This window comes from Homo sapiens, chromosome 6 (assembly GCF_000001405.40).
Source record: "Homo sapiens chromosome 6, GRCh38.p14 Primary Assembly".
Lineage (NCBI taxonomy): Eukaryota > Metazoa > Chordata > Mammalia > Primates > Hominidae > Homo > Homo sapiens.
In genome coordinates this window covers 52415466-52441816 of record NC_000006.12, presented here as the reverse complement: position 1 = coordinate 52441816, position 26351 = coordinate 52415466, and the positions used below count along the sequence as shown (strand labels likewise).

Genomic DNA, 26351 nt, shown 5'->3' with positions numbered 1-26351 from the left:
GATGAAAGATCTCTACAATGAGAATTACAAAACACTGCTTAAGGAAATCAGAGATAACACAAGCAAATGAAAAAACATTACATGCTCATGGATACGAAAAATCAATATCTTTACAGTCACCATACTGCCCAAAGCAATGTACAGATTCAATGCTATTCCTATCAAATTGCCAGTGACACTCTTCACAGAACTAGAAAAAAATACTTTAAAATTCAATGGTACCCAAAAAGAGCCTGAATAGTCAAGGCAATTCTAAGCAAAAGAACAAAGCTGGAGGCATCATGTTACCTGCCTTCAAACTATACTACAGGGCTACAGTAACCAAAACAGTACAGTACTGGTACAAAAACAGACACATAGACCAATGGAATAGAATAGGGAGCTCAGAAATAAGGCTACACACCTATAATTATGTGATCTTCAACAAAGTTGACAAAAATAAGCAATGGGGAAAGGTGCTGGGATAACCTGCTAGCCATATGCTAGCCATATATCTTACACCAGATATAAAAATCAACTCAAGATAGATAAAAGACTTAAATGTAAAACCCAAAACTATAAACACCCTGGAAGACAACCAAGGCAACACTATTCTAAACATAGGAATGGGCAAAGATTTCATGACAAAGACACCAAAAGCAATCACAACAAAAGCAAAAATTGACAAATGGTATCTAATTAAACGTAAGAGCTTCCGCAGAGCAAAAGAAAGCATCAACAGAGTAAAAAGACTATCTAAAGAATGGGAAAGAAATATTTGCAAACTATGCATCTGACAAAGGTCCAATATGCACCATCTATAAGAAACTTTAATTTACAAGAAAAAAAGCAAAGAACCCCATTAAAAAGTGGGCAAAGGACATGAACAGACACTTCTCAAAAGAAGACATACACATGGCCAATAACCATATGAAAAAAAAGCTCAACATCACTATCATTAGAGAAATGCAAATCAAAACCACAATGAAATATCATCTCACACCAGTCAGAATGGCTATTATTAAAAAGTAAAAAAATAACAGGTGCTGTCAAGGTTGTGGAGAAAAAGAAATGTTTATACACTGGTGATGAGAGTATAAATTAGTTCAACCATTGTAGAAAGCAGTGTAGTGATTCCTAAAAGACCTGAAAACAGAACTACCATTTGACCTAGGAATCTCATTATTGGGTATATACCCAAAGGAATATAAATCATTCTGCCATAAAGACATACCCGCAAGTATGTTCATCGCAGCACTATTCATAATAGCAAAGACATGGAATCAACCTGAATGCCCATCAATGGTAAACTGGAAAAAGAAAATGTGATACATATACACATACATATACATATACATGAAGGTGCCAGATTTTTTGCATTTTTGTGTTTTTTGTTGGTGATTTTGCTGTTTAAAGGGTCCCAGTGCCTAGTGATGAAGTGCTATTTAGTGTTCCTAAGCACAAGAAGGCTGTAACACACCTCATGGAGAAAATGCATGTCTTAGATAAGCTTTGTTCAGACGTGAGTTATAGTGCTGTTGGGTGTGAGTTTAATGTTAATGAATCAACCGTATATATTAAATAAGGTGTCTTTAAACAGAAACATACATGAATCAAACTTATGTATTGATCAGTTGACAAAAATGTGGCCAGAGATTAGTGGGAACCTAACCCTGTATTTCCTCTAAGACTAGTGGTTCAGTATTCACTAATTCAGTGTTTGTGGTGACTTTATAGTCCTAATTACTGTCAATAATGAGAACCGACTATAAATAGATTAGGTCAAACGCTCAGTGATTAACTTGCAAATGTTCAAATTGCCCATAAAAACACAACTGTAAAAATAATTGTTATGAAAACACAACTGTAAAAATAATTGTTAATACATTTATGTTTAGATAACATTTTATCATTTCTCACTGTTGGTACAATTGTGAAACTGCCTATGATATATAAGACCTCAGACACCTAAAAAGCAAAGAGATAAAAATATGTTGGAACGGGAGAATATCTCAAAGATGGTCTAGCACCTCTACTTTTGAAGCTATTTTTCTCTATTGCTTTGGAATGGCACTGATGCCATGGCTCCTTTCTTTACTTCCTTCAGGCCTCTATTCATATGTCATCTTATCACTGAGGCATTCTCTGATCCGCCTCTATAAAGAGCCCCTCAACTTCCATTCCCTTTACTCAGCTTTATTTTCCTCCATTGCTGTTATCATCATCTGACATATAACCAATCTATTTATTTGCTATTGCTTATCTCCTCCAACAAGATTGGAACCTCTATAGGGGCAAGTACCTATAACATGCAAGGAAAGGAGAAATGGTGCACTATTAGCTTGTCATAGTCATCTGAAAAATATCAAGTACCTTCCTGAAAACATCTGGCACCTAGAACAGTGCATGGAACAAAGCAGGCATGCAAATAAATATCTGTTAAACAAACTACTAAATGAAAACAATAATGGATTCATAGGAGCTCAGTGCATGGTAAAAATTAGTCACATATGGCACTAGGTATCCTGGAATAGGGACATAAAATACTTCAGAAACTATATCTTTGCTGCTAGAAATATTTTTTTAACTAAGACAAATTTGGAATTGACTTCCTAATTCCTACACTTTGTAGTAAAGAAAGGCCACCTATATCCTCTATGCATGTAACTTTAATAAAAGTTTCCTTTGTATTAAAAAATCCAAACTTACGAAATAGAGGACTTTTTACATATAGAAGAGGTTTTTTCATTTAAAAATGGTTTCATTTCAGAAATTCTTTAGATGGTAAGCTTTCCTAGAATATAGCAAGTATCATTTACCAAAAATATATGAGCTACACAAAAAATTTTAGGCTCATATCTGCTAATAGAAGTAGTGCTATTTTTGTAAACTCACACTTAAGATAAAACGTTTAATCCCTCTTCCATACTTACATCCCAGCAGGGATGCTATTCCCCTACTCCCTGTTTGAACTGCCATTTTAACCTGGTTTCTTACCAAATTATTCAGCTATGATGAGAGTTTGATTTTGAGTGAATAAGTATTAATATCATTCTGAAAAAATTATGTTACTATTAGTGTTGGCACATATTAGCACATACACACATGCAAATACCTAGCCATTCATAATAATTCATGCAGGACAGATTACCAATGTCCTCCCCTTACCCTAATAAATGAAATGTATCCTTCTATAAATTAGAATGATGCCTCAGACCCCACAACTTTCAAAAATATATGCTATACCTGTGTGAATTGGTCACAGTCAACAACGCGGAAAGTTTTGCCATAAATTGTGATGTTTATTCCTCGATTTAGGTCTTTCCAATGGTAATGGTCACCCCGGTCATTCTTGGCTAGCCGCTGGCGTTTTATTAACTTGCCTTGAAGGATTCCAGAATTTTCTACAACAGGCTCTATGACAGACATGCTGTCATCTTCTAGATAATAGTAAATGTTCACCTGACGGATCCTATACTGTTCCTCAGTTGACATAGGAACATCTTCTTGGAAATAGGCATCAAATTTCAGTACCTATAACATACAAGGAAAGGAGAAATGGTGTACTATTAGCTTGTCATAGTCATCTGAAAAATATCAAGTACCTTCCTGAAAACAGAACCACACAGGGAGATTTTAACACTCATCACTTCTATCCTGTAAATCTTGATACTCTAAAACTACAGATACTGCAAACTATAGTCCATGGGACAAATCTAACCTGCCACCTGTTTTTTTTATGACCTGCAAGCTAAGAGTGGGTTTTACATATTTAAATGGTTTAAAAAATTTTAAAAAATGTTTCATAACACATGGAAATTATAAAAATTTAAATTTTCAATCCACAAATAATTATGTAAATAATTTACGCTTTTTTGTTAACAGCTGCTCTCCCATTACAAGGGAAGAGTTGAATAGTTGTGACAGAGATACACAGACTAAATTGTGTCCCCCTCATCCCCAAAATTCATATGTTGAACCCCTAACCCTCAATGTGACTATATTTGGAGACAGGATCCTTAGGAGGTAATTAAGGTTAAACCAGATCTTAAGGATAGAGGTATGCCACCTTTAAGTCTAATCCCATAGAACTGGTTGCCTTAGAAGAGAAGAAGAGAAAGAGAGTTACTTCCCTCCCCTAACTCCCACATGTACACACCAAGGTAAGGCCACATGAAGACATAGCAAGAAGACCGCTGTATGCAAGCCAGGAAGAGAGCCCTCACCAGAATTCAAACCAGCTGGCACCTTGATCTTGGACCTCCAACCTCCAGAACTGTGAGAAAATAAATTCTATTATTTAAACCACTCAATCTGTGGTATTTTGTTGTGGCAGACTACGCAGGCTAAAACCACTGCAATGGCCAAAATATACGCTAACTGCCCTTTACAGAAAAAGTTTGCTGACATCTGCTTTAAATACTCACAATGTGTATAAACTATTTATTGCATATGTTCCTTGGTGAGAATACATCTTAAAGGACTTAACTCTACTAGCTTCACCTCCATGTCAAAAGTCCCTCCCAGAACTTCTGGGAAGAGTAAAAAATCTTGGATAAGATTGCGATTTTTGGTTTCAAACTGAAAATGAAGGGTTAATTGCACTTCTTTAGAAGTGTAGTCCTTTGTAAATGTATATTAATTACGTTCATTATTATAAACTTTATATGAATGACTTTCACATCATCAATCCACTACAGAATCTTTGAAGGGTGTGTACATACCCTCATCATCAATCCGCTATACAATCTCTAAAACGTGTGTAAATACCCTCCTTGTGCTCAGGAACATATATATTACATTGAGCAAACCATTGGTCCTCTGGGGAGCATCATCATCAATGTGAAGTCAACATGGTATCAATATATAGATTACACATTTAAAAAACATAAACTATGCCAGGCGTGGTGGCTTACGCCTGTAATCCCAGCACACCGGGAGGCCAAGGCAGGCAGATCACCTGAGTTAAGGTGTTTGAGACCAGTCTGGCCAACATGGTGAAACCCCGTCTGTACTAAAAATACAAAAATTAGCCAGGCTTGGTGGTGGGCAACTGTAATTCCACCTACTTGGGAGGCTATGGTAGGAGAATCATTTGAACCCAGGAGGTGGAGGCTGCAGTGAGCTGAGTTAGCGCCACTGCACTCCAGCGTGGGTGACAGAGTGAAACTCCATCTCAAAAAAATAAAAAATAAAAAGCATAAAACAATATTATAAAAAGAATATGTTAACATGCTTTGGGATTTTTAAATTTCTGTTATTTTGTCTCTGTTTTTAATGTGTCTTTTCAAGGAGAGAAAGTATTAGAATGGGATTCTAAGCAGGCAAGATAGTTTACCCAAGCCTCTACTAGAATAAGAGGAACAAATCAAGAAGATCCTAAATGAAACAGAAATATGGCTTGATAAATGGAAAGATGAAATAATTCTATACACGGACACTGTTGCTAAAAAAAAAAATGGGTAGCGTAACTACTGTGGAAAAACAAGATAAAAACCAAGAGAACTGGCAAGTGCATACAAGTGCATAGGAGAAATGTGAATATAATGAAGGCCTTAAAACTCATAATAAAAAGATAAAATGGATAAGTGCAGTGGAATGTTTGAAGGAGAAAAATAACATGGTAAAAGCAAAGGACAGATAATGTTGAAGTAACATTTTAGATCAACTGCAAAGAACTGAAAGGGGGGACATGATCATAGTAATTCATATATAAAATGGCCTGTATCTGAGCCATATATTTATAAATACATAAAATGTTAAAGCTGAACTGATCAGCTAGCCCAACCCCACTTATTTTATAAAGGAGGAAACTGAGACCCAGGGTGGTAAGGTGGCGTGCCTGAGGCCATGTAAGGGGTTAGGGCCAGAACTGGAACTGAAATTCAGACTATTAACTCACAACCCAATATTCTCTCCACACATCTTGCTACTTCTCAGGTAACAAATGCTATCGTGGTTCCAAGAAGGAATCTGTGTGGACTAAAGTGGTCAGAGAAAGCTTAACTAGGAGGAAACAAAAGATGTATTAGACTTGAAGAGTGAAAGATTTTAGATCAGCAGAGGATACAAGGGGGGCTTCTAAGCAGTGGTAATAACAGAAGCAGAGGAAGGAAACCCAGCAGCAGTATGCAGGCTATGATGGAGGAGGAAGTACTAGGCATGGCAATCAGACTGGAAGCCCCTTCAATAGTCCAGGTCTGCAGTAATTAATTACCAGCAATGGAAAAGCAGAAGTCTGACTGGATTGATAGTAAGGAAGTGGGAAGGTGGAAGCAGATGAGGTGTTGAGGAAAACCCAGTGCTGGCGATATAGTGGTGATCTCATAGAAATGTAAACATAAGGAGAAGATAATTTGGGTATGGCAGATGGTGAGTTTGATTTTAGACTTACTGAATTTAAGTGACAGCACAAGTTGTATACTGCAGGGGGTAATTTATACTGCAGGACTGGGTTTAGGGGAAGAAGTAAATATTACAGAACATTCAAGGATAATGCAAACATTTTTGGCCAAGCAACTGAAAGCATAGAATTACTATCAAATTGATATGAAGAAGATTGCTGCAGAACAGATTTTGGGGGTAAGAAGACAAAATTGGGAGTTCAGTTTTAGATATGCTTAATTTGAGATATTTATTAGACATTCAAGATGAGATGGCAAATAGGCATTTATGTATACATATGTTTAGAGGACAACTTATCATCATAAAGAGGACATTTCAAGCCATGAACCTGGACAACTCACCAAAGGAGTGAGAAGAGAATCACAGAGAAGATAACCAAAGATCAAGTCTGTGGCCACAGCCATGCTCCCAAACCATCTGTTTTCTAAGATTGGTGGGCATGAAAATGCCTATGGCAACAGGAAGTTGGCCTGAGAATGGGAGGCAAGGAGATACACATATATATATGGTCTTGTTATATGTGTGTATGTATATATATATATATATATGGTCTCAGGTAAAGAATATGCTAACCGAAAAGAATTACTTAATTGTTAATTTTTAAAAGGCACTTATCTATTTATTAAGAACAGAATTAAGAGTTCTGTGCTCCTCCCACAAAGAATGAATGGGATAGAAGAGTTAATGTAGAAAAGCTCTTTGGAAAGTTTCCCTGGAATCATGGCAGATGGAAGGTAGGACTAGATTGCAGCTCCCACTCAGACGGGCAGAGCAGCGTGTGAAGGCTTGCACTGTGAGCTTTTTTGCTCCAGGATGACTGCAGGAATAAATTAGGTAAGCAGAGAGAATCCACAGACCCTCTGAAGGAAGCAAATTGCTCTTGTAGGACCCGGGAGACACCCCAAATACTGTGAGTGCCCAAACTATGGAAGTGGGAAAGGGAGATCATCTGTCCCCGAACACACACCCCCACTGAGGAACCTGAAGGTCTAGATTACAGGAGAAGATTCTGACCTTACCTGGAGCTGGGTCAATTCAGAGAGGCGAGTGAAATACGGGGGTAGAGGAAGCAGCGGGAAAAGTCCTATGGTCTCCCTGGGGTCCCCTACCAAGCCATTTCTGCCTTGCTTCACAGGGGTACTTGGGGAGGGCAGCCAGAGGCACTGGGAAAAGGCCACAGGAAGAAGGGAACCTCCAGCTGAACTGTGTAATGATTTGAACCAATTGAGAAGTCTCCTGGCCAGAACTCGGGAGAAGGTGTGAATCCAGTGTACAGATTCCACAGGTGGGGGAAGAAGGAAAGCCCCACTTGCTTTCAAAGCTGGGAGGCAGGTAGCCTGGGGCAAGTTCTCAGCCTTGCTCACCCACTGCCTGGAAACAGACTTGGTGCTGTTGGAGAGGGGCGGGACAGTGGGAGTGAGATTGGACCTTTGGGTTGCATGGGAGCTGGGTGAGGTCTATGACTGCTGGCTTTCCCCCACTTCCCTGACAACCTGAAGTATACAGTAGAGGCAGCCATAATCTTCCTAGGAACACAACTCCATTGACCTCAGACCCTCACCCCCATCCTCCACAGCAGCCACAGCAAGACCTGCCCAAGGAGAGTCTGAGCTCAAACACATCTTGCCCTGCCCCAACCTAACGGTCCTTCCCTACCCACCCTGGTAACTGAAGACAAAGGGCATATACTCTTGGGAGTTCTAGGGGCCCACCCACTGCCTGTTCCCCCCATACTACCACAGCTAATGCTATCTTGAAAACACCACCTCCTGGCAGGAGACCAACCAGCACAAAAATAGTACATTAAACAACCAAGGCTAAGGACCCTCACAGAGTCCGTTTCACCCCCCTGCCACCTCCACTGGAGCAGGTGCTGGTATCTATGGCTGAGAGACCCACAGACGGCTCACAGCACAGGACTCTGTGCAGACAACCCCCAGTACCAGCCTGGAGCCTGGCAGACTTGCTGGATGGCTAGATCCAGAAGAGAGATAACAATCACTACAGCTCGGCTCTCAGAAAGCCACATCCATAGGAAAAGGGAGAGAATGCTACATCAAGGGAACACCCCGTGGGACAAAAGAATCTGAACAACAGCCTTGAGCCCTATACCTTCCCTCTGATAGAGTCTACCCAAATGAGAAGGAACCAGAAAACCAACTCTGGTAATATGACAAAACAAGGTTCTTTAATGCCCCCAAAAATCACACTAGCTCACCAGCAATAGATTGAAACCAAGAAGAAATCCCTAATTTACCTAATAATTTAGAAGGTTAGTTATTAAGCTGATCAGGAAGGCACCAGAGAAAGGCAAAGCCCAATTTAAGGAAATAAAAAAGATACAAGAAGTGAAGGGAAATTTTTTTCAATGAAATAGCATAAATAAAAAACAATAAAAACTTCAGGAAACAATGGATGTGCTTATAGAAATGCAAACTGCTCTGGAAAGTCTCAGCAATAGAATCAAACAAGCAGAAGAAAGAACTTCAGAGCTCAAAGACAAGGTTTTCTAATTAACCCAATCCAACAAAGACAAAGAAAAAAGAATAAGAAAATATGAACAAAGCCTCTAAAAAGTTTGGGATTATGTTAAATAACCAAACCTAAGAATAATCAGCATTCCTGAAGAAGAAAAATCTAAAAGTCTGGAAAACATATTTGGGGGAATAATCAAGGAAAACTTCTCTAGACATCCAAACACAAGAAGCTCAAAGAATACCTGGGAAATTCACTACAAAAAGATCATCACCTAGGCACACTTTCCTCAGGTTATTTAAAGTTAAGATGAAGGAAAGAATCTTAAGAGCTGTGAGGCAAATGCACCAGGTAACCTATAAAGGAAAACCTATCAGATTAATAGCAGTTTCTCAGCAGAAACCCTACAAGCTAGAAGGGATTGGGGCCCTATCTTCAGCCTCCTTAAACAAAAGAATTATCAGCCAAGAATTTTGTATTCAGTGAAACTAAGCTTCATAAATGAAGGAAAGATACAGTCTTTTTCAGAAAAACAAATTCTGAGAGAATTTGCCACTACCAAGCTAGCACTACAAGAACTGCTAAAAAGAGCTCTGAATCTTGAAACAAATCAAAACACATCAAAACAGAACCTCTTTAAAGCATAAATCTCACAGGACCTATAAAACAAAAATACAATTAAAAACAAAAAACAAAAAATCCAGGTATACAGACAACAAATACCACGATGAACAGAATGGTATCTCACATCTTAATACTAATGTTGAATGTAAATAGCCTAAATGCTCCAATTAAAAGATACAGAATCGCAGAATGGATAAGAATTCACCAACCATCTGCTGCCTTCAAGAGACTCACCTAATACATAAGGACTCATGTAAATTTAAGGTAAAGGGGTGGATAAAGAAACTCCATGCAAATGGACACCAAAAGTGAGCAGGAGTGGCTATTCTTGTATCAGACAAAACAAACTTTAAAGCAACAGCAATTAAAAAAGACAAAGAGGGACATTATATAATGATAAAAGACCTGTCCAACAGGAAAATGTCATAATCCTAAATATATATGCACCTAACACTGGAGCACCCAATTTATAAAACAATTACTAATAGACCTAAGAAATGAGATAGACAGCAACATAATAATAGGGGGGGACTTCAATACTCCACTGATAGCACTAGCCAGGCCAAGACAGAAAGTCAACAAAGAAACAATGGATTTAAACTATACCCTGGAACAAATGGACTTAATATATTTACAAAACATTCTACCCAACAACCGCAGAATATACATTCTATTCAACAGCGCATAGAACTTTCTCCAAGACAGACCATATGATAGGCCACAAAATTAGCCTCAATAAATTTAAGAAAATTGAAATTATATCAAGCACTCTCTCAGACCATAGTGGAATAAAATTGGACGTCAACTCCAAAAGGAACCTTCAAAACCATGCAAATACATGGAAATTAAATAACCTGCTCCTAAGTGAGCTTTGGGTCAAAAATAAAATCAAGATGGAAATTAAACAATCATTCGAACTGAATGACAATAATGACACAACCTATCAAAGCCTCTGGGATACAGCAAAGGCAGTGCTAAGAGAAAAGTTCAAACCCCAAAACGCCTACATCAAAAAGTCTGAAAGAGCACTAACAGACAATCTAAGGCCACACCTCAAGGAACTAGAAAAACAAGAACAAACCAAACCCAAACCCAGCAGAAGAAAGAAAATAACCAAGATCAAAGCAGAAACAAATGAAATTGAAATAAACAAACAAAAAAAACAAAAGATAAATGAAACAAAAAGCTGGTTCTTTGAAAAGCTACATAAAATTGATAGACCATTAGCAAGATTAACCAAGAAAAGAAGAGAGAAAATCCAATAAGCTCAATTAGAAACAAAATGGAAGATATTACAACTGACACCACAGAAATACAAAAGGTCATTCAAGGCTACTATGAACACCTTTACGCACATAAACTAGAAAACTAGAGTAGATAGATAAATTCCTGAAAGATAAAACCCTGCTAGCTTAATTCAGGTAGAATTAGATACCCTGAACAGACCAACAACAAGCAGCAAGACTGAAATAATTAAAAAACTACCAGCAGGAAAAAGTCCAGGACCAGACAGATTCACAGAAGAATTCTACCAGATATTCAAAGAAAAACTGGTACTATTGGCACTATTCTACAAGATAGAGAAAGAGGGAATCCTCCATAAATCATTCTATGAAGGCAGTATCACCCTAATACCAAAACCAGGAAAGGACATAACCAAAAAATAAAACTATAGACTGATATCCCTGATGAACATAGATGCTAAAATCCTTAACAAAATACTAGCTAACCGAATTCAACAACATATGAAAAAGATAATCCACCACGATTAAGTGGTTTTCATACCAGGGATGCAGGGATGATTTAACATACGCAAGTCAATAAATGTGATACACCACATAAACAGAATTAAAAACAAAAATCACACGATCATCTCAATAGATGCAGAAAAAGCAATCAACAAAATCTAGTACCCCTTTCTGATTAAAATTCTCAGCAAAATTGATACAAGGGACATACCTCAATGTAATAAAAGCCATCTATGACAGACCCACAGCCAACATAATGCTGAATGGGGAAAAGTTGAAAGCATTCCCTCTGAGAACTGGGACAACATAAGGATGCCCACTCTCTCCACTCCTCTTCAGCACAGTACTAGAAGAAGTCCTAGGCAGAGCAATCAGACAACAGAAAGAAATAAAGGTCATCCAAATAGGTAAAGAAGTCAAACTGTCACTGTTCACTGATGATATGATTGTTTACCTGGAAAATCCTAAAGACTCCTCCAGAAAGCTCCTAGAACTGATAAAAGAATTCAGCGAAGTTTCTGGATACAAAATTAATATACACATATCAGTAGCTCTTCTTTACACCAACAGCGACCAAGCTGAGAATCAAATCAAGAACTCAACCCCTTTTACAATAGCTGAAAAACAAACAAACAAACAAAAACTTAGAAATATACATAACCAAGGAGGTGAAAGACCTCTACAAGGAAAACTACAAAACACTGCTGAAAGAAATAACAGATGACACAAATAATGAAACAAATAATGGAAACACATTCCATGCTGATAGGGTGGGAATCAACATTGTGAAAATGACCATACTGCCAAAAGCAATCTAAAAATTCAATGCAATTCCCATCAAAATACCACTATCATTCTTCACAGAATTAGAAAAAACAATCCTAAACTTCATATAGAACCTAAAAAGAGCCCGCATAGCCAAAGCAAGAATAAGCAAAAAGAATAAACCTGGAGGCATCACACTACCTGATTTCAAACTATACTATAAGACCATAGTTACCAAAACAGCATGGTACTGGTATAAAAATAGGCACATAGACCAATGGAATAGAACAGAGAGCCCAGAAATAAAGCCAAATACTTACAGCCAACTGATCTTTGACAAAGCAAACAAAAACATAAAGTGAGGAAAGGACACCCTATTCAACAAATTGTGCTGGGATAATTGGCAAGCCACAAGTAGGAGAATAAAACTGGATCCTCATCTCTCACCTTATATAAAAATCAACTCAAGATGGATCAAGGACTTAAATCTAAGACCTGAAACTATAAAAATTCTAGAAAATAACATTGGAAAACCTCTTCTAGACATTGGCTTAGGCAAGGGTTTCATGACCAAGAACCCAAAAGCAAATGCAATAAAAACAAAGATATATAGCTGGGACTTAATTAACCTAAAGAGCTTTTTCACGGCAAAAGGAACAGTCAACAGAGTAAACAGACAACCCACAGAGTGGGAAAAAATCTTCATAATCTATACATCTGACAAAAGATTAATATCCAGAATTTACAATGAACTCAAACAAATTAGCAAGGAAAAACAAAGAAGCCCATCAAAAAGTGGGCTAAGGACATGAATAGACAATTCTCAAAAGAAGATATACAAATGGCCAACAAACATATGAAAAAATGTTCAACATCACTAATGATCAGGGAAATGTAAATCAAAACCACAATGTGATATCATCTTAGTCCTGCAAGAATGGCCATAATCAAAACATCATAAAATATTAGATGTTGGTGTGGATGCAATGAACTGGGAACTGCTGGTGGGAATGTAAACTAGTACAACCACTATGGAAGATTCCTTAAAGAACTAAAAGTGTGAAGATTCCTCAAAGAACTAAAAGTAGAACCACCATTTGATCCAGCAATCCCACTACTGGGTATCTACCCATTGGAAAAGAACTCATCATACAAAAAAGATACTTGTACATGCATGTTTATAGCAGCACAATTTGCAACTGCAAAAATATGGAACCAACCCAAATACCCATCAATCAATAAGTGGACAAAGAAAATGTGATATATATGATGGAATACTATTTAGCCATAAAAAGGAATGAATTAATAGCATTCACAGTGACTTGGATGAGACTGGAGACTATTATTCTAAGTGAAGTAACTCAGGAATAGAAAACCAAACATTGTATGTTCTCACTCATAAGTGGTAGCTAAGGTATGAGGATGCAAAGGCATAAGAATGACACAATGAACTTTGGGGACTCAGGGGGAAAGGGTGGGAAGGGGGTGAGGGATAAAAGACTACAAATTGGGGGCACTGTATACTGCCTGGGTGATGGGTGCACCAAAATCTCACAAATCACCACTATAGAACTTACTCATGTAACCAAACACGACCTGTTCCCCAGTAACCTATGGAAATAAAAAAAATTGTTTTTAAAGTAGTGGGATAACATCAGCTTTCCCAGGTAGAATAAGAACTTGATTGTTACGTAGAAAGAAAAGAAAAATTATATTTAAATACTGTGTTTAAAAATATACTTTTCATGGAATTTTATAGCAGGCTGGGCTCCTGATTATCATGTATTCTAACCTTCTGAGTTTATAGACGAGGAAATTAGAGATTGTGACTACAAGGTCACAATGTTAGCTGGTAGGAGACCCAGAATTAGAATCCAGGTCTTCTAACTCCCAGGAAGTGCTCAGAATGCCACAATAAACATAAAAATATTTGTATTTACTTCAAGATGAAGGGGGGAAATGCTGCATAAATATTTTCATATCACACACAATTATAAAAAGCCAAGTCACATTTTTAATTTTACATTATTATAAGCATATATGGTACGTGTTTGACTTGCCAATTTTCAGCAGTGACACAGACAAGAAATAAATTTTGTTAATTATTCATGTCATTTTAGAACTGATATTTATTGAGCACTAAATATATAATAAACTATATAAGTCCTTACCTTCATGAAGTATACACTCAGGTGGGACAGATAAACACTAAACAAATCAGCAACACAAATTATAATATAGTGCTGCAAAGGGGAAAAAAAAAAAAGAGAGGGAAGTGATATAGAAAAATGAGGAGGAACTGCCATAGCAGAGTGGCCAGGAAAAGCCTCACTGAAAGGAAAGATGGAGTCAGCCACTTAAGGATGGTGGGGAAGCTATTTCAGATAGGAGAAATGCCATGTACAAAAAGGCCCTGAATTGGAATTTTCAAATGCTGCCATTTCAAGGAAATCAGTAAAAATAAATCCAATGTATTGAAACATGATAGGTGAGAAAAAGGACCCAAGATGAGGCTGGGGAGAGAGCAGGGAGGGCCAGCTCCAGTAGGGCTGTGAGGAACCTGTAGAGTTGGATCTTTATAGATGATAGGGAAGCCATGGAAGTGTTTCAGTCAGTATGTGACATAATCTGATTTTCAAAAAATAAGCCTGGCTGCTCTGTGGAAAATAAATTTATGGTAATAGTGAGGATGAAAATAAGTAAATGAATTAGTTACATATTTTAGAAGCAGAAACAATAGAACTTGCTAATAGATTAGATGTGGATTGTGAGGGGAAAGAAGAATGAAAGATGACTTTCATGTCACAGTGAGGTGAATGGTGGTAATGTTTACTGTATTGGTTAAGAAAGCCTGATGGCATTTTCCCAGAAAAATGACATAATCAGAGCTGAACTCTAGAGAATAAACAAGGCAGCATACCTGTTATAAGCATAAGGACTAGGAATGAGACTAAAACAACAGTTAGGTAGTCATTTGGCTTGTCTGAACTATGATAGTGGCAGAGGAAATGAAAGTGAGAGATATTTGACTTGGCAACTCATTAAGTGTGGAGGATAAAGGAGAGAAAAAGCCAAAGATGGCTCAGGTTTCAAGCTTGGATTACCTAGTGGAACCACACAGGGAAAGCAGATCTATGGGAAAAGGTGAGGGATAGAGATAAGTTAGAGACATACAGAACTTGAGGTACCAACAGTTCATCCAGGTGAAGATATCCCATGGGCCAGGGGGATACAGATCTGGAGTCTCAATGATGTCAGAGTTGGAACTAAATAGTGACATTCTCTACGGTGAGGTGACGGTTGAAATCACGAAAGTGGGTGAGATCTCAAGAAAATTATATAAAGAATGAGATAGAGCCTTGAAAATACTTGTAAGTTAAGAATTGAAAAGAGGAAGGGAGGCTAAAGAATAAGCAACCACATAGAAAGAAGGAGGAAAATGAGAGTCATGGAGGCAAAAGAAGAGCACAGTTTCAAGAAGGGAGGAAGGGTCAACAGTGTCAGATGGCATAAACAAGCCAAAGACAATGCTGGCAAAGTAAACCTCTCTAGATCTGGTAAAAGGACAGCACTGGCTACCTAGGAGAAAGTATTCTGGGGCTGTGGGTAGGGAGAAGTCAGATTGTAAGTGATTTGACAGTCAAGTGAGAAACAAAGTTATCTTGCTTAAAGGCATCACAAGGTATTATAGAAAGAGGACAGGATGATATGACTCTAGCTAGAGAAGCAGTCACTAGAGTGTCTGAAATAGAAATAATATGAAACTTGAAGATGAAAAAGATGAAAGAAGAACATCAGAAATAAAGAGCTGGAAGTCAGTCTGGGAAACACAATATAGTAGGTGATGCTGGAATTATACAGGAGCAAGGGGAAAAGATGAGGGCACTTGGAATAGATGTCCTGGTCTTTATTACCTAAGTAAGAAATGAAGTTATATTCTGTCTATGAGGAACAGTCCTAAGAATTTCCAAAATATAGACAAATATGTTGGCTATTATGTGGACCTCTGGGTATTAGAGGTCCTTCATTTAAAATTAGAACCTTCATTTAATTCAGAGAAACCATAATTCCCTTATTATAAACAAACAAACTTAGTTTCAAAGTCATGCATTTAGCTTCTCTCTACCCCATTATCTATGCTAAGGCTCATTTATCTAGAAATTGTGATGATCCAAGTAAAATGAATTGGAAAATAAAAATAATATTTTTATGTGCACTATCCTTAAAGAAATGAATTATGAATATTAAATAAGTACAAATTAAGTAACAACAATTAGTGTAAAATAACATAGAAAACAAAAAATAGGAAGCCTATTTCCTACTCAAGCGCAATTTCTCCTCTGAATTTTACTAATACTTTCTTACGACATATATCACTTTATCACCTTCTACTTTATAACAGTTACTTACTATTCTTTTCAGTAAAAATTAAACATACCAGGATTCATATCTTGGTAATTATTTAGTGCCTATCCCACTTCTCTCTTGTATTTTCAGCCCTCTCCCTTCTCTGCTGATTTTGCAATGTCTGTCAAAGCCACAAATAAACAAAAGAAACAAGCAAAAGGAAAAGATACATCCAATTATATAAATCATACTGTTTAGTGGATGTTTAGGTTCGGCCTATGAATGCATATGTGAATGTGTCCCTATAAATGAGTTAAGTGGGGAAGAGGAAATGATACAGATTCTAGTTGAGAGACTGAAATTGTTTAAAAATAAGTGACTATCATGTAAATGGCATAGCTCCTCCCCAGCCTCTAGCTTACAACAGGTACTCAATAAAAGTTGGCTGGCTGGATGAAAATGTTATAGACATTTAACAGGAATAATAAAATAAAAATTAAGACAAGAAAAGAAACAGACTAAGAGTAAATTAAGAAAGCTAACTTATCAAAACTGATCAGTACTTCTCAGAACCAGTTACACATAAAGCTCATCTGGAAATTAGAACTGATGAGGGTTGGAATAACGTAACTTTCTTAAAAATCTCGCCAGTGATTCTGCTACATGGTCAGGGCTAGGGCTACTTCACTTTAGTGAAAAGAGGAGGCTCATTGACAAGGAAAAACAAGAATGATGTGGTAATGTCAATAGATGGAAATGAGGAAACTCACATTGCAAAAACATAAAGATAAATGAGAAACAAACAAAAATGTTATACCACCCATTGGTTATGTAATATCAAACATGAAATGTTCCCTGAAAACCAAAAACTTATGGAGACTGCCTTGCAGAAAACTGACAATAGATGGAGTCATTGTTTTCATAATGATATTCTGCATCTCATGAAGATTAGATATGTCACCATTACAGAATACAGTTACCTTTAAAAAGTGGAGAACACACGGCTGATAAACATAGAATATAAATTCAAGAATTCAGAATTATAGCCAACTTTTCTTTAACTGCATTTGGAAAATAGTCTGGTGAAGTCTACAGGGAACTACTTTACTCCCTGTAATCAGCTTCCTGACTAAAGAAAGCCTCTTTTTAGCCTGAGTTCAGCTGTCCATGACTAAGGGTTAAGGCATCTGAACAATTTTCTCCTCAGAGCCCTTTGGAAATTCTGTGGTTTACTGTTTTAACTTTTTTGCAAGCAGTTGGCTCTCAGACCCTAATTCAAGGGGTACCCTAAAATTCCAGATGATACCTTTTTGTCAAAGGCCACATGCGCAGGAATAAAATCCGCAGGTGGGGCTTGTTTAGGTTGGCCATAAGTTAAGACTGGTGCCTTACTGGCCAACTCATCCAGCTCAGCCTGGGACAGCTGGTTGAACTGGAGCCGGTCTCCGCCTATCCCAACTGTTGGACGTCGAACAATTGCATAGCCGTTCCTGTAGCTCAGCGTCTGACTTCTGTGGAAGGCTGTTTTCTGAAGAAGAAAAGAATGTGTCATTAATAACATTAGACAAATATTTGTTAGGTAAAAAAAAAACTAACTTTTAAAAATATAACTTGAATCTTTGCTTATAAGCATCACAAAACTTACATCAAGAAGCTTACCAACATTAAGGCTGGGCATGGTGGCTCGTGCCTATAATCCCAGAACTCTGGGAGGCTGAAGAGGGAGAATCACTTCAGCCCCAGAGTTCGAGACCAGCCTGGGCAACAAGATGCTGTCTCTACAAAAACTAAAAAAAAAAAAAAAAAAAAAAAAAAATTAGCTGGGTGTGGTGGCTTGTGCCTATTATAGTCGGCTGAGGTGGAAGGATCACTTGAGCCTGGGAGGTCCAAGCTGCAATAAGCTATGATTGAACCACTGCACTCCAGCCTGGGCAACAGTGAGACTCTGTCTCAAAAAAACAAAACAAAACAAAAGCTTACCTACATTAAAAGATTCTGTATTTTAAGTTAAAACACTTGAACAAGAACAAGGAGCGAAGTAGCCACCTAAGCTTAAAGTAAAATTTAAAGCTGTGCTCTGTAATGCCCAATTTAACTACCAATTCACCTTGCATGAGAGATTAAAAGAGTATCTCATCTATACTCTTAAGTTTTTCACTAGTCTTCTCATGTTTTTCATCTGATATCTGGGGCCGTAAAAACTGTAGAACCTAGAAGATACGGTTCTGTGAATTTTATTTTTACATGGAATGAATTTATTTTTACCTGTCCCTCTTGTCACAATGACAGTGATACATTCTTACAACTCTTTGGAAAGCAACTGGATGGTATATATTTAAAGTCTTGAACTCAATAATTCTACCCCGACCATTTATTTACGAATATGATTCAGAATTATGAGAAAGAACTATATGCCTGAAGCTGCCCATTACAATGGTAAATGTTGAAGACAATCTAAAAGACAGTCATATGAAGACATGAGTAAATGATCGAAAACTCACTCAATGGATTATGGTGCTGTCATTAAAATATTGATTTTAGAGATCACGTGGCAACCTGGTGAAAATATTTATGATTTAATAAGCCTGAAAAAGCAACATATAAAATTATATGTGTACTGCAATTATAAGCATGGAAATATGTGCATGAAGAGACTGGTTTGGTCCTCTGTATTATACATTTCTAAATTATGTTGATTTTTTACAATGAACACATTTTTATTTAAAAGATTAAATAAAAAAGAGTAGAAAGGCAAATTAGAGGTTATGTTAATGGTTTCCTTTTTCTGTTGTGAGGATACTTTCACAATTACTTATCTATAATATTCAAATATATACATAGATACAATTTAAGATTAATCATAAAAAATATTTTTATGAAAAAAACTTTCTACATCCTAATTGCTTTAGAGCCCAGCCTACCATCTTTCAAGATCTGTACTAACATGAAAGGTACAACAGAATAAACTTCTTTTGCTAAAAGGGTTATAAACTGTATATAACCCATAAAAACAAATGTATGACATTTGTTTTTAAAGGTCATGTATTCAGAGTCACAAGTCAGTTGACAGGGACTGCTCCAGGTATATAGTAAACATGACATAGAACAAAATGCGCTGAGTTGACATCCTCATTGGGTAATTTATGGAACTTCAAGCTCTTCTTCCACCACCAAAGACAGAAGCAACATCAGTGACTTCAGTTTATTTCTTTGTTTTAGACAAATGTCTCTACCATCATTCAGCCATAACTCACAGACACCCCAGGCAAGGCAACCTCGGCCCTTTCCACCCCTCTTGTCCATTATGGTTCACCTTCTGTGTGTCTTTTTTTAAAATCGTTTTCCCACTCCCCTTTAAAAATTTTTTAACTTCTTATCTGCATGTCTTTAGAATTACATTAATACATATTCAGTCCTTCACTGCTGAAGATATACTGACGATGCTTTTCAAATTTCAAATAGGGCAAATTGGTTGACACTTGGCCAGTGTATTTAAAATCTGAAATATGTCCAATGCACAGTTCTTCTTACTTGTAATACAGCAATATGTTTTTAGAGCTTTGCACTTCCATCCACACCTCTGTAATTCCCTGTATCAACTCAGCCCTGTCTATACTCACCAACACCAAAAGCTTAAGCTCATCCTGTATAGGGCAGGCAAGTGCCTACAACATTTTCTAAATTACATAAAACTGAAAAGTCCACTGAAACTAAAAATCTATGATGTTGTGTCTTAATGCAGGGATAATTACAGAGATTCAGAATACAAATTCTCTCACCAAACTTTCGATTTCATTCTAAATTGATTCTTCCAAAGAAAATAAATTGACAAAATATTTTAACTTTGTGAAGCTGGAGAGGAAGGCAAGAGTTTAAAGTATTAAACTATATAAACATAAACTACTGTTAGCTCATCTATGATGATCAGTCTACTGAATCTCATTATTGATTTTTCAGCACATACATTTCAGTAGCCCTGTCAGAATTAAAACAAACCAAATAATTTTAAGAGCTAAACTGTGGCAAGAGTTTAAAAAAAAAAAAGAATCCAAGCTGCTGCTACTTTTTAAAAAATTTTGTCTAGAAAATGCAAATAAAAACACAAGGTTGGGGAAGGAGCAAAACAAAATCTAAACAGGAATCTTTTTACAAAAACGTTAGAATAAAAAGAACAGGGCCGGGGAAGAATAAACAGCAACTAATCAATTCTTGAGGGAACTGGAAAGGAATATCTCTTACAAAGCAGGGAAAGATGCTTTGGGAGGAAGGTGAGCAAGTTTTGGGGAAAACCCGCAACGGAGAAAGAAAGGAATGGGGAGAGGATGGGACTAAATTGTGGAAAATGTAGAAGATGGAGAAAAAAGAATGGGGTTGGATGCAAGCATAAAGAAGAAAGGAAAAAGACCTGGCGGAAAGAAGAGGAGCGGAATCGATATACATACAAAACAGGAAATGGAGCTGGGAGTGGGAGATACTACCGGGTACAGGATTCAGAAGAGGAAGAGGTGGGGCGGGAATGACGGACCTGTGGGAATGAGGTTGAAGGTGCATAGTGGCGGGGGGTTTTAAGGGCGGCGATGGACGGAGACAGGTTATGATGTGAGAGAACGAGCTAGGGAGAGGGCCCAGAGATAGGTTGGGAGTAGGGTGGGGGAAACAGTGATCTAAAGGGACAAGAGGCAGGGGCTTGGAGGAGCAGGGCCGTAAGAAAGAACGCGGCTAACGGGATGAGAATGAAGGCGCCAACACACTGCCAAGATGGAGTGGGAAAAAACTAGAGAGGGATGAGGCGGAGGGCAAAGGATCGGAGAGAGGGGATGAGGATGGCTAGGGAAGAACGGCAGAAGTTCGGCCCAGAATAAAGAACAGGGTCAGGACAGAAGACGTGTTTGGAGAGAAGACAGACTTGAGTGGAGGGGAATGGAGGTGCACTGAGCGGGGAAACCTCCTGGGCTGCTGGAAGGTGGGGACAGGTGGGAGTCTGGCAGATAACTGCTCACCGTAGAGTCCTTAAAGGACGTGCCCGGAAGAAAGGGCAAGCCATGCACGGGATTGGACACCATTGCAGCCGGTACCACCGCCGCCACCTAGGTCCTGCTTCGTCCTCTCCGGTTGCCCAGGCGACAAGCAGTGTTCGCGGGCACCTCCAGGATCCATGGTAACGCTAAACATCCGGAACTCCCACGAGCGGAAGGCGGGGCCAGGAGGCGCAGGCATCACAGGAGGTTTGCGCGTGCGCCATCCGCAGGACTCCGCGTTCTCGCGGTAAGTGGGCCGCGGCCTTGGAGCGCGGCTAGTGGGCGTGGTTGTGTCGGCCCCTCCTCTTCCGCTTCGCCCCGCCCCGCTCCCGGAGGATGAGACGTGGGAGCTGTTGGGTGGCGCGGGGAAAGGCGGGTGTAGCGAGGCGGTAGTTCTCGCTGTGAGATCCGGGGTCCGAGCAGGCCCTTAGATGAGTTGCAGAGAGGGACGTTCCTTCTCTCCTTCCACCTAGTCCTGGCGGACCTCACTGCGCCCCGCCAACGCTGTGAGCTCAGGCACTCTTTTCTCCCCCCTCTGCCCCATTTCACACAGAAGTGTAAATGGTCGGTCCAGTTGGCAGTGCTACTAAACTAGACCCATGCTTCTTGTAGGCAGGGGCCGAGGATTACCCATGATTGTGTTTCTGTTGCTCAGGGATGGTCAATGAACTAATGCAATCATCTCATCCTTAATTCTCCCACTGCCACATTGTATTTTTCCCCTTTTAACTCTTTTTTAAAATCAATCTTTCTCTTTCTTTCTTTCCTTTCTTTCTTTCCTTTCTTTTCTTTTTCCTTCCTTCCTTCCCTCCTTCCCTCCGTCCCTCCTTCCCTCCTTGCTTCCTTCCTTCCTTCCCTACTTCCCTCCTTCCGTAGAGATAGTGTCCCACTATGTTGCCCAAGCTGGTCTCGAATTCCTGGGGTCAAGCGATCCGCCCACCTCGCCTCCCAAAGTGCTGGGATTACAGGCATGAGCCACCGCGCCCAGCTCTCTTTATTCTACCATCAATCCCTTCGGTTAAACACCTTTGTTTTTGTAGGGAAAGCCTTGAATATGTGCTGCAGGGCAGGGTGCACTCTGATAGGTACTTGATTTTTGTTGACTGAAGAGCTGCAGGTTGAAGGGTGGTCACCTCAATCCCTCGTTTGTACCTGCAGCTGCAATGAAAAAGATCAGAACCACTAGGAGGAACACAGCTCCTTCAAAGAGAAAGACTAAGTCTTGGGAAAGAAGCAGATAAGTGAGGTGAAATATTGTCAGCATCATAGGTATAGCCTTTGATGCTTTTTACAAAACTTGCTTAAATTATTTTTTCTTAAAAGAAACATAATCCTATTCCTGAAACATTTTTTTTGGGGGGGGGGGGAGAAAGCTATCCATCATTGCTGAGGAGCTTAAAAATAAAAAGTAATCAAAACCCACGTGCCGAGAGATTTGGATTCATTAGGTCTGACATGGAGGCCAGGAATCTGATTTTTGTAACAGGCGTTTGTGACAAGCCAGTTTAGGAACATGATAGAGTAATAAGCCAGACACAGAAGGCATATCTCAGTGTCACAGGTAGTTTACTGCCAATACAGACAGCAGCTTTACTTTTATTGCTGCTTGTCAGAGCAAATCCCCCTGTTGGGTTTCACTAATTTGTGTGACGCTCAGGAGGCCCAGGACATGAATGCATTAAGTGGCACCTGAGGCAGTTATTGATGCCTGCTTACCATACCCTGCCCAGAGAGTTTCCTTTCTAACTCTTCTCCCCTTACTACATCTGTTTCCTGTTCTTGTCCTTTTTTAAACCTCTTTTTCTTTTTCTGTAAGTACATTACCTTAATGCAGCAGTTTAATACATTTTTTAAAAACTTCAATGAAGTTTTTTTGCCTTTGGTGCTTTTTACAAAACTTGCTTATTTTTTAAAAAAATAAATGTAATCATATTCCTCAAACATTGGTTAGCATTGTGGAAGTTACTGAAAACTTTTAAAGTACCTGTCCGTTGTATTATACCTTAGACACCAACTGAGGATGGATGCCAGTCACTGGAGGAATATGTCAAGATGGCAAGTTTGCTGGGTGCGGTGGCTCACGCCTGTAATCCCAGCACTTTGGGAGGCCGAGGCGGGTGGATCGCCTGAGGTCAGAGTTTGAGACCAGCCTGGACAACATAGTGAAACCCCACCTCTACTAAAAATACAAAATTAGCTGGGCATGGGGGCGCATGCCTGTAATCCCAGCTACTTGGGAGGCTGAGGCACGAGAATCGCTTGAACCCGGGAGGTAGAGGTTGCAGTGAGCCGAGATCGCGCCATTGCACTCCAGCCTGGGCAACAAGAGCAAAACTCCGTCTCAAAAAAAGGAAAAAAAAAAAAAAAGATGGCAAGTTTAACCTTTCAAAGATAAGGCACCTCTCCCACTTCTCTCCACCTCATTGACGCTGATTACCCAGAATCACTGGTTACTGTAATTTTTGCTGACTCTTCATGATAACCTTAAACTGTTAGAAGTTCCATGATCCCTCCCTACCCACTCTCTTATTAAAAGTAAATTTCATGGCATTAGGACACACTTTGAAGAGCTCTTCTTGACTAAGTGCATGGTTGCACTTGGATCTATATTCCTGGGTTGGGTAGGGAAGGAGCGTGTGGAGCTGGAAAGGCTGAGTCATGCCTAAGCCTATTGTCCATTATCGCATCTGTTTCTATTTGAGGAGTGCCCTCTGCTCATGCCTTTCTTTCCAGAAAAGCACGCCAGTTAAATGGCTAAGGGGTGTGTTTTAACTACTTTCGGACCCCAGAAATGCATGAAGACAACTTCTGTTGGTCTATGGCCTCCTAAAAATGCTATCATCTCTGAGGAGGGGAAGTCAGACGTACTGCATTAGTGTTAAAAGGCACAGGGACAAGTCTGTAAAGAAGTGGGGCGGGAGGAAAGGCAGGGCTTCAGAAAGGTACCTGGATCCTCAGAAGGTCTGCTGTGATTAAGAGTTTGTATCCCAGTCGGGTGCAGTGGCTCATGCCCGTAACCCCAGCACTTTGGGAGGCCAAGGTGGGCAAATCACTTGAGGCCAAGATTTTGAGACCAGCCTGGCGAAACCCCATCTCTACTAAAAATACAAAAATTAGCTGGACGTGGTGGCACATGCCTGTAGTCCCAGCTACTCAGGAGGCTGAGGCAGGAGAATCGCTTGAACCGGGGAGGCAGAGGTTGCAGTGAACAGAGATCATGCCACTGCACTCCAGTCTACATGACCACTTAGCATGCATTGCACTTCAGTTTGTACCCACCATTTCCCACTTAGTGGAATATATAAAAGAGGGCAGGAAACTGACCATTCCTGGCAGCTAAAGTAGGAAATGCCATGATTGAAAGGCCATTGCATAAAGCCTGACTCAGAAGACCACAGAAATATTGCATGATTTTAGCAGGTGTTCCAAAACTTGGGGAATGGAAAAAAATTGAAAGGTCAGACTGCCAGGAGCCAAGCCTGAAAGAGGGCCTTGTGGGCTGGGTAATGTCTTCCAGGCAATCCTGATGGGACAGGCCATAAGCAGTCAGCTAAAATAAACCTCTCCTCTTTCAGCATTTTGCCCAGAGCTGACTTTACCCAGAATTTGTTTTCAAAACTGTGACATTCTCATTCTATAATACCTAAATTCACAGGACAAAAAATACCAAAGGGCTGTGTGTGCATGTGTCCTGGATTACTTCTGCAGTGATTTGGTGTTCTGCTTCCCTCTGCTGGGTAAAAATGGTACAGCAAAATTTCTGGAAAAGAAAACAACCAATTACATACCTGCAGGTTTTGCAGGTACTTGGGGGTGTGGTGAGCACGTGAATATGGCCAGGGGGTGTCCCTCAGTCAGAGTGCTCTCTAGCATTCCTTTCCATCACTCCATGGCCTCTGAAATATTTTATCTAAAAAGAGGGCCCAGTCATCCACTTCGATCTTTGCAAAGTATGGGAAAAGGAGAAACATCCAGTGATTAGATTTAGGATCCACAGGAGATCTTCATTTGACACAAAAATTACATCATTTGGGTCTAGACTATTTTAGTCTTGATGTGGGCTCCTGCCTGGGGTTTGGAAAAACCTGTATTTCTGCTGCTTTTTCCTCCCTTAAGTCAAACCTATTCAATAGCTTTAGCTGATTCCGTTGGAATTCTCTTTCCTTGTCAAAGCTGATGGAACATACTTCACAGGATATAAGCGTCATAAGAAGATGGTCTTCATTTTTTCATTGCCATTTTCCTAACTCTCATCACAGTGCCTAGCACTACATAGATGTCCATTAAATAGTTGGAAAATTACTGACCTACTACAGTTAATGAATGAATGACTCAGCGGTCACGTGGGAAAGTATTTTTCAAACTGCTGCAGATTTCCTTTAGCAGTTCTTCAAATCAACTTAATAGGTTGTGACCACAACGAGAATTATTTTTAAAAAAGAATAGAATAGAAACTATCCAGATGCATTCCATTTTGTTTGTAAGAATAATTCAGTGAAAGTTTTTTCAAGATATATACATACATATACATTCATAGTGAGAGTATATCATGATCACAGTCAAAATGCTTGAAAAGTAATTGACACAGTCCGGTTAGCTCATTTTACTAATGAGAAATCTCCAGACCAAAAGAGATCAAGGAACTATCAATTAATGACTGGTTCCCAATTGAGTATTTCTTACACTCCACCTCAATCCTCTGACATCTAGGAAAGACAGTCCTCATTTAGCTCAGGACAGATCATTGATCTTGGCATCCTGCTTGTGAGACATCTCTGGCATAATAAAGCTCTCAATAGTACGGAGAAAGAGAAGTGTGAGAATGTTGTGGTAGTAACATTGACTAGAGTTTTAGATTCCAAATGTGGACAAGAAGTGAATTCATTAATTCAGGTAAATGGCAACTTTGAAACAATAGGGAAATTGACACCTTCTATTGAGCATCTCAAACCACTTTCCTTTTCCCCTTTCACATATGCAGCATGAAACA

General features: G+C 39.1%; 1 protein-coding gene and 1 long non-coding RNA gene across 4 annotated transcripts in view, besides 2 other annotated features; one reads left to right on the top strand and one right to left on the bottom strand.

Annotated features, from left to right (window-relative positions):
- EFHC1 (EF-hand domain containing 1) overlaps positions 1–21475 on the bottom strand; it is a 76857-nt gene extending 55382 nt beyond the window's left edge. For 2 of the 3 annotated variants that reach the window (NR_033327.2, NM_018100.4), the window contains exons 1-3: positions 21344–21475; positions 17650–17871; positions 3226–3513 (exon numbers count right to left, since the gene is read on the bottom strand). Coding sequence is in view for 2 of the 3 variants with exons in the window: in NM_018100.4 (NP_060570.2) it covers positions 3226–3513; positions 17650–17871; positions 21344–21406 (573 nt within the window). In the remaining variant the exon portion in view is untranslated. Of the gene's footprint in view, positions 1–3225; positions 3514–17649; positions 17872–18002; positions 18131–20748; positions 20810–21343 lie in introns of those variants that run through there. The other variant, NM_001172420.2, reaches the window with a different exon arrangement.
- Positions 20836–23917, top strand: LOC124901331 (uncharacterized). Its single transcript, XR_007059611.1, has 2 exons — positions 20836–21608; positions 23369–23917. It is a non-coding gene; the product is annotated as an uncharacterized LOC124901331 (long non-coding RNA).
- Positions 20915–21506: an enhancer, noted in NCBI's record as "H3K27ac hESC enhancer chr6:52285109-52285700 (GRCh37/hg19 assembly coordinates)". NCBI's record gives its function as "activates a minimal SCP1, AML or CMV promoter by ChIP-STARR-seq in naive H9 embryonic stem cells {active_cell/tissue: H9 hESC(naive)}" and the evidence as "EXISTENCE:reporter gene assay evidence [ECO:0000049][PMID:30033119]".
- Positions 24932–25226: a silencer, noted in NCBI's record as "tiled region #10279; HepG2 Repressive DNase matched - State 5:Enh". NCBI's record gives its function as "represses a minimal TATA promoter and a strong SV40 promoter by Sharpr-MPRA in HepG2 cells {active_cell/tissue: HepG2}" and the evidence as "EXISTENCE:reporter gene assay evidence [ECO:0000049][PMID:27701403]".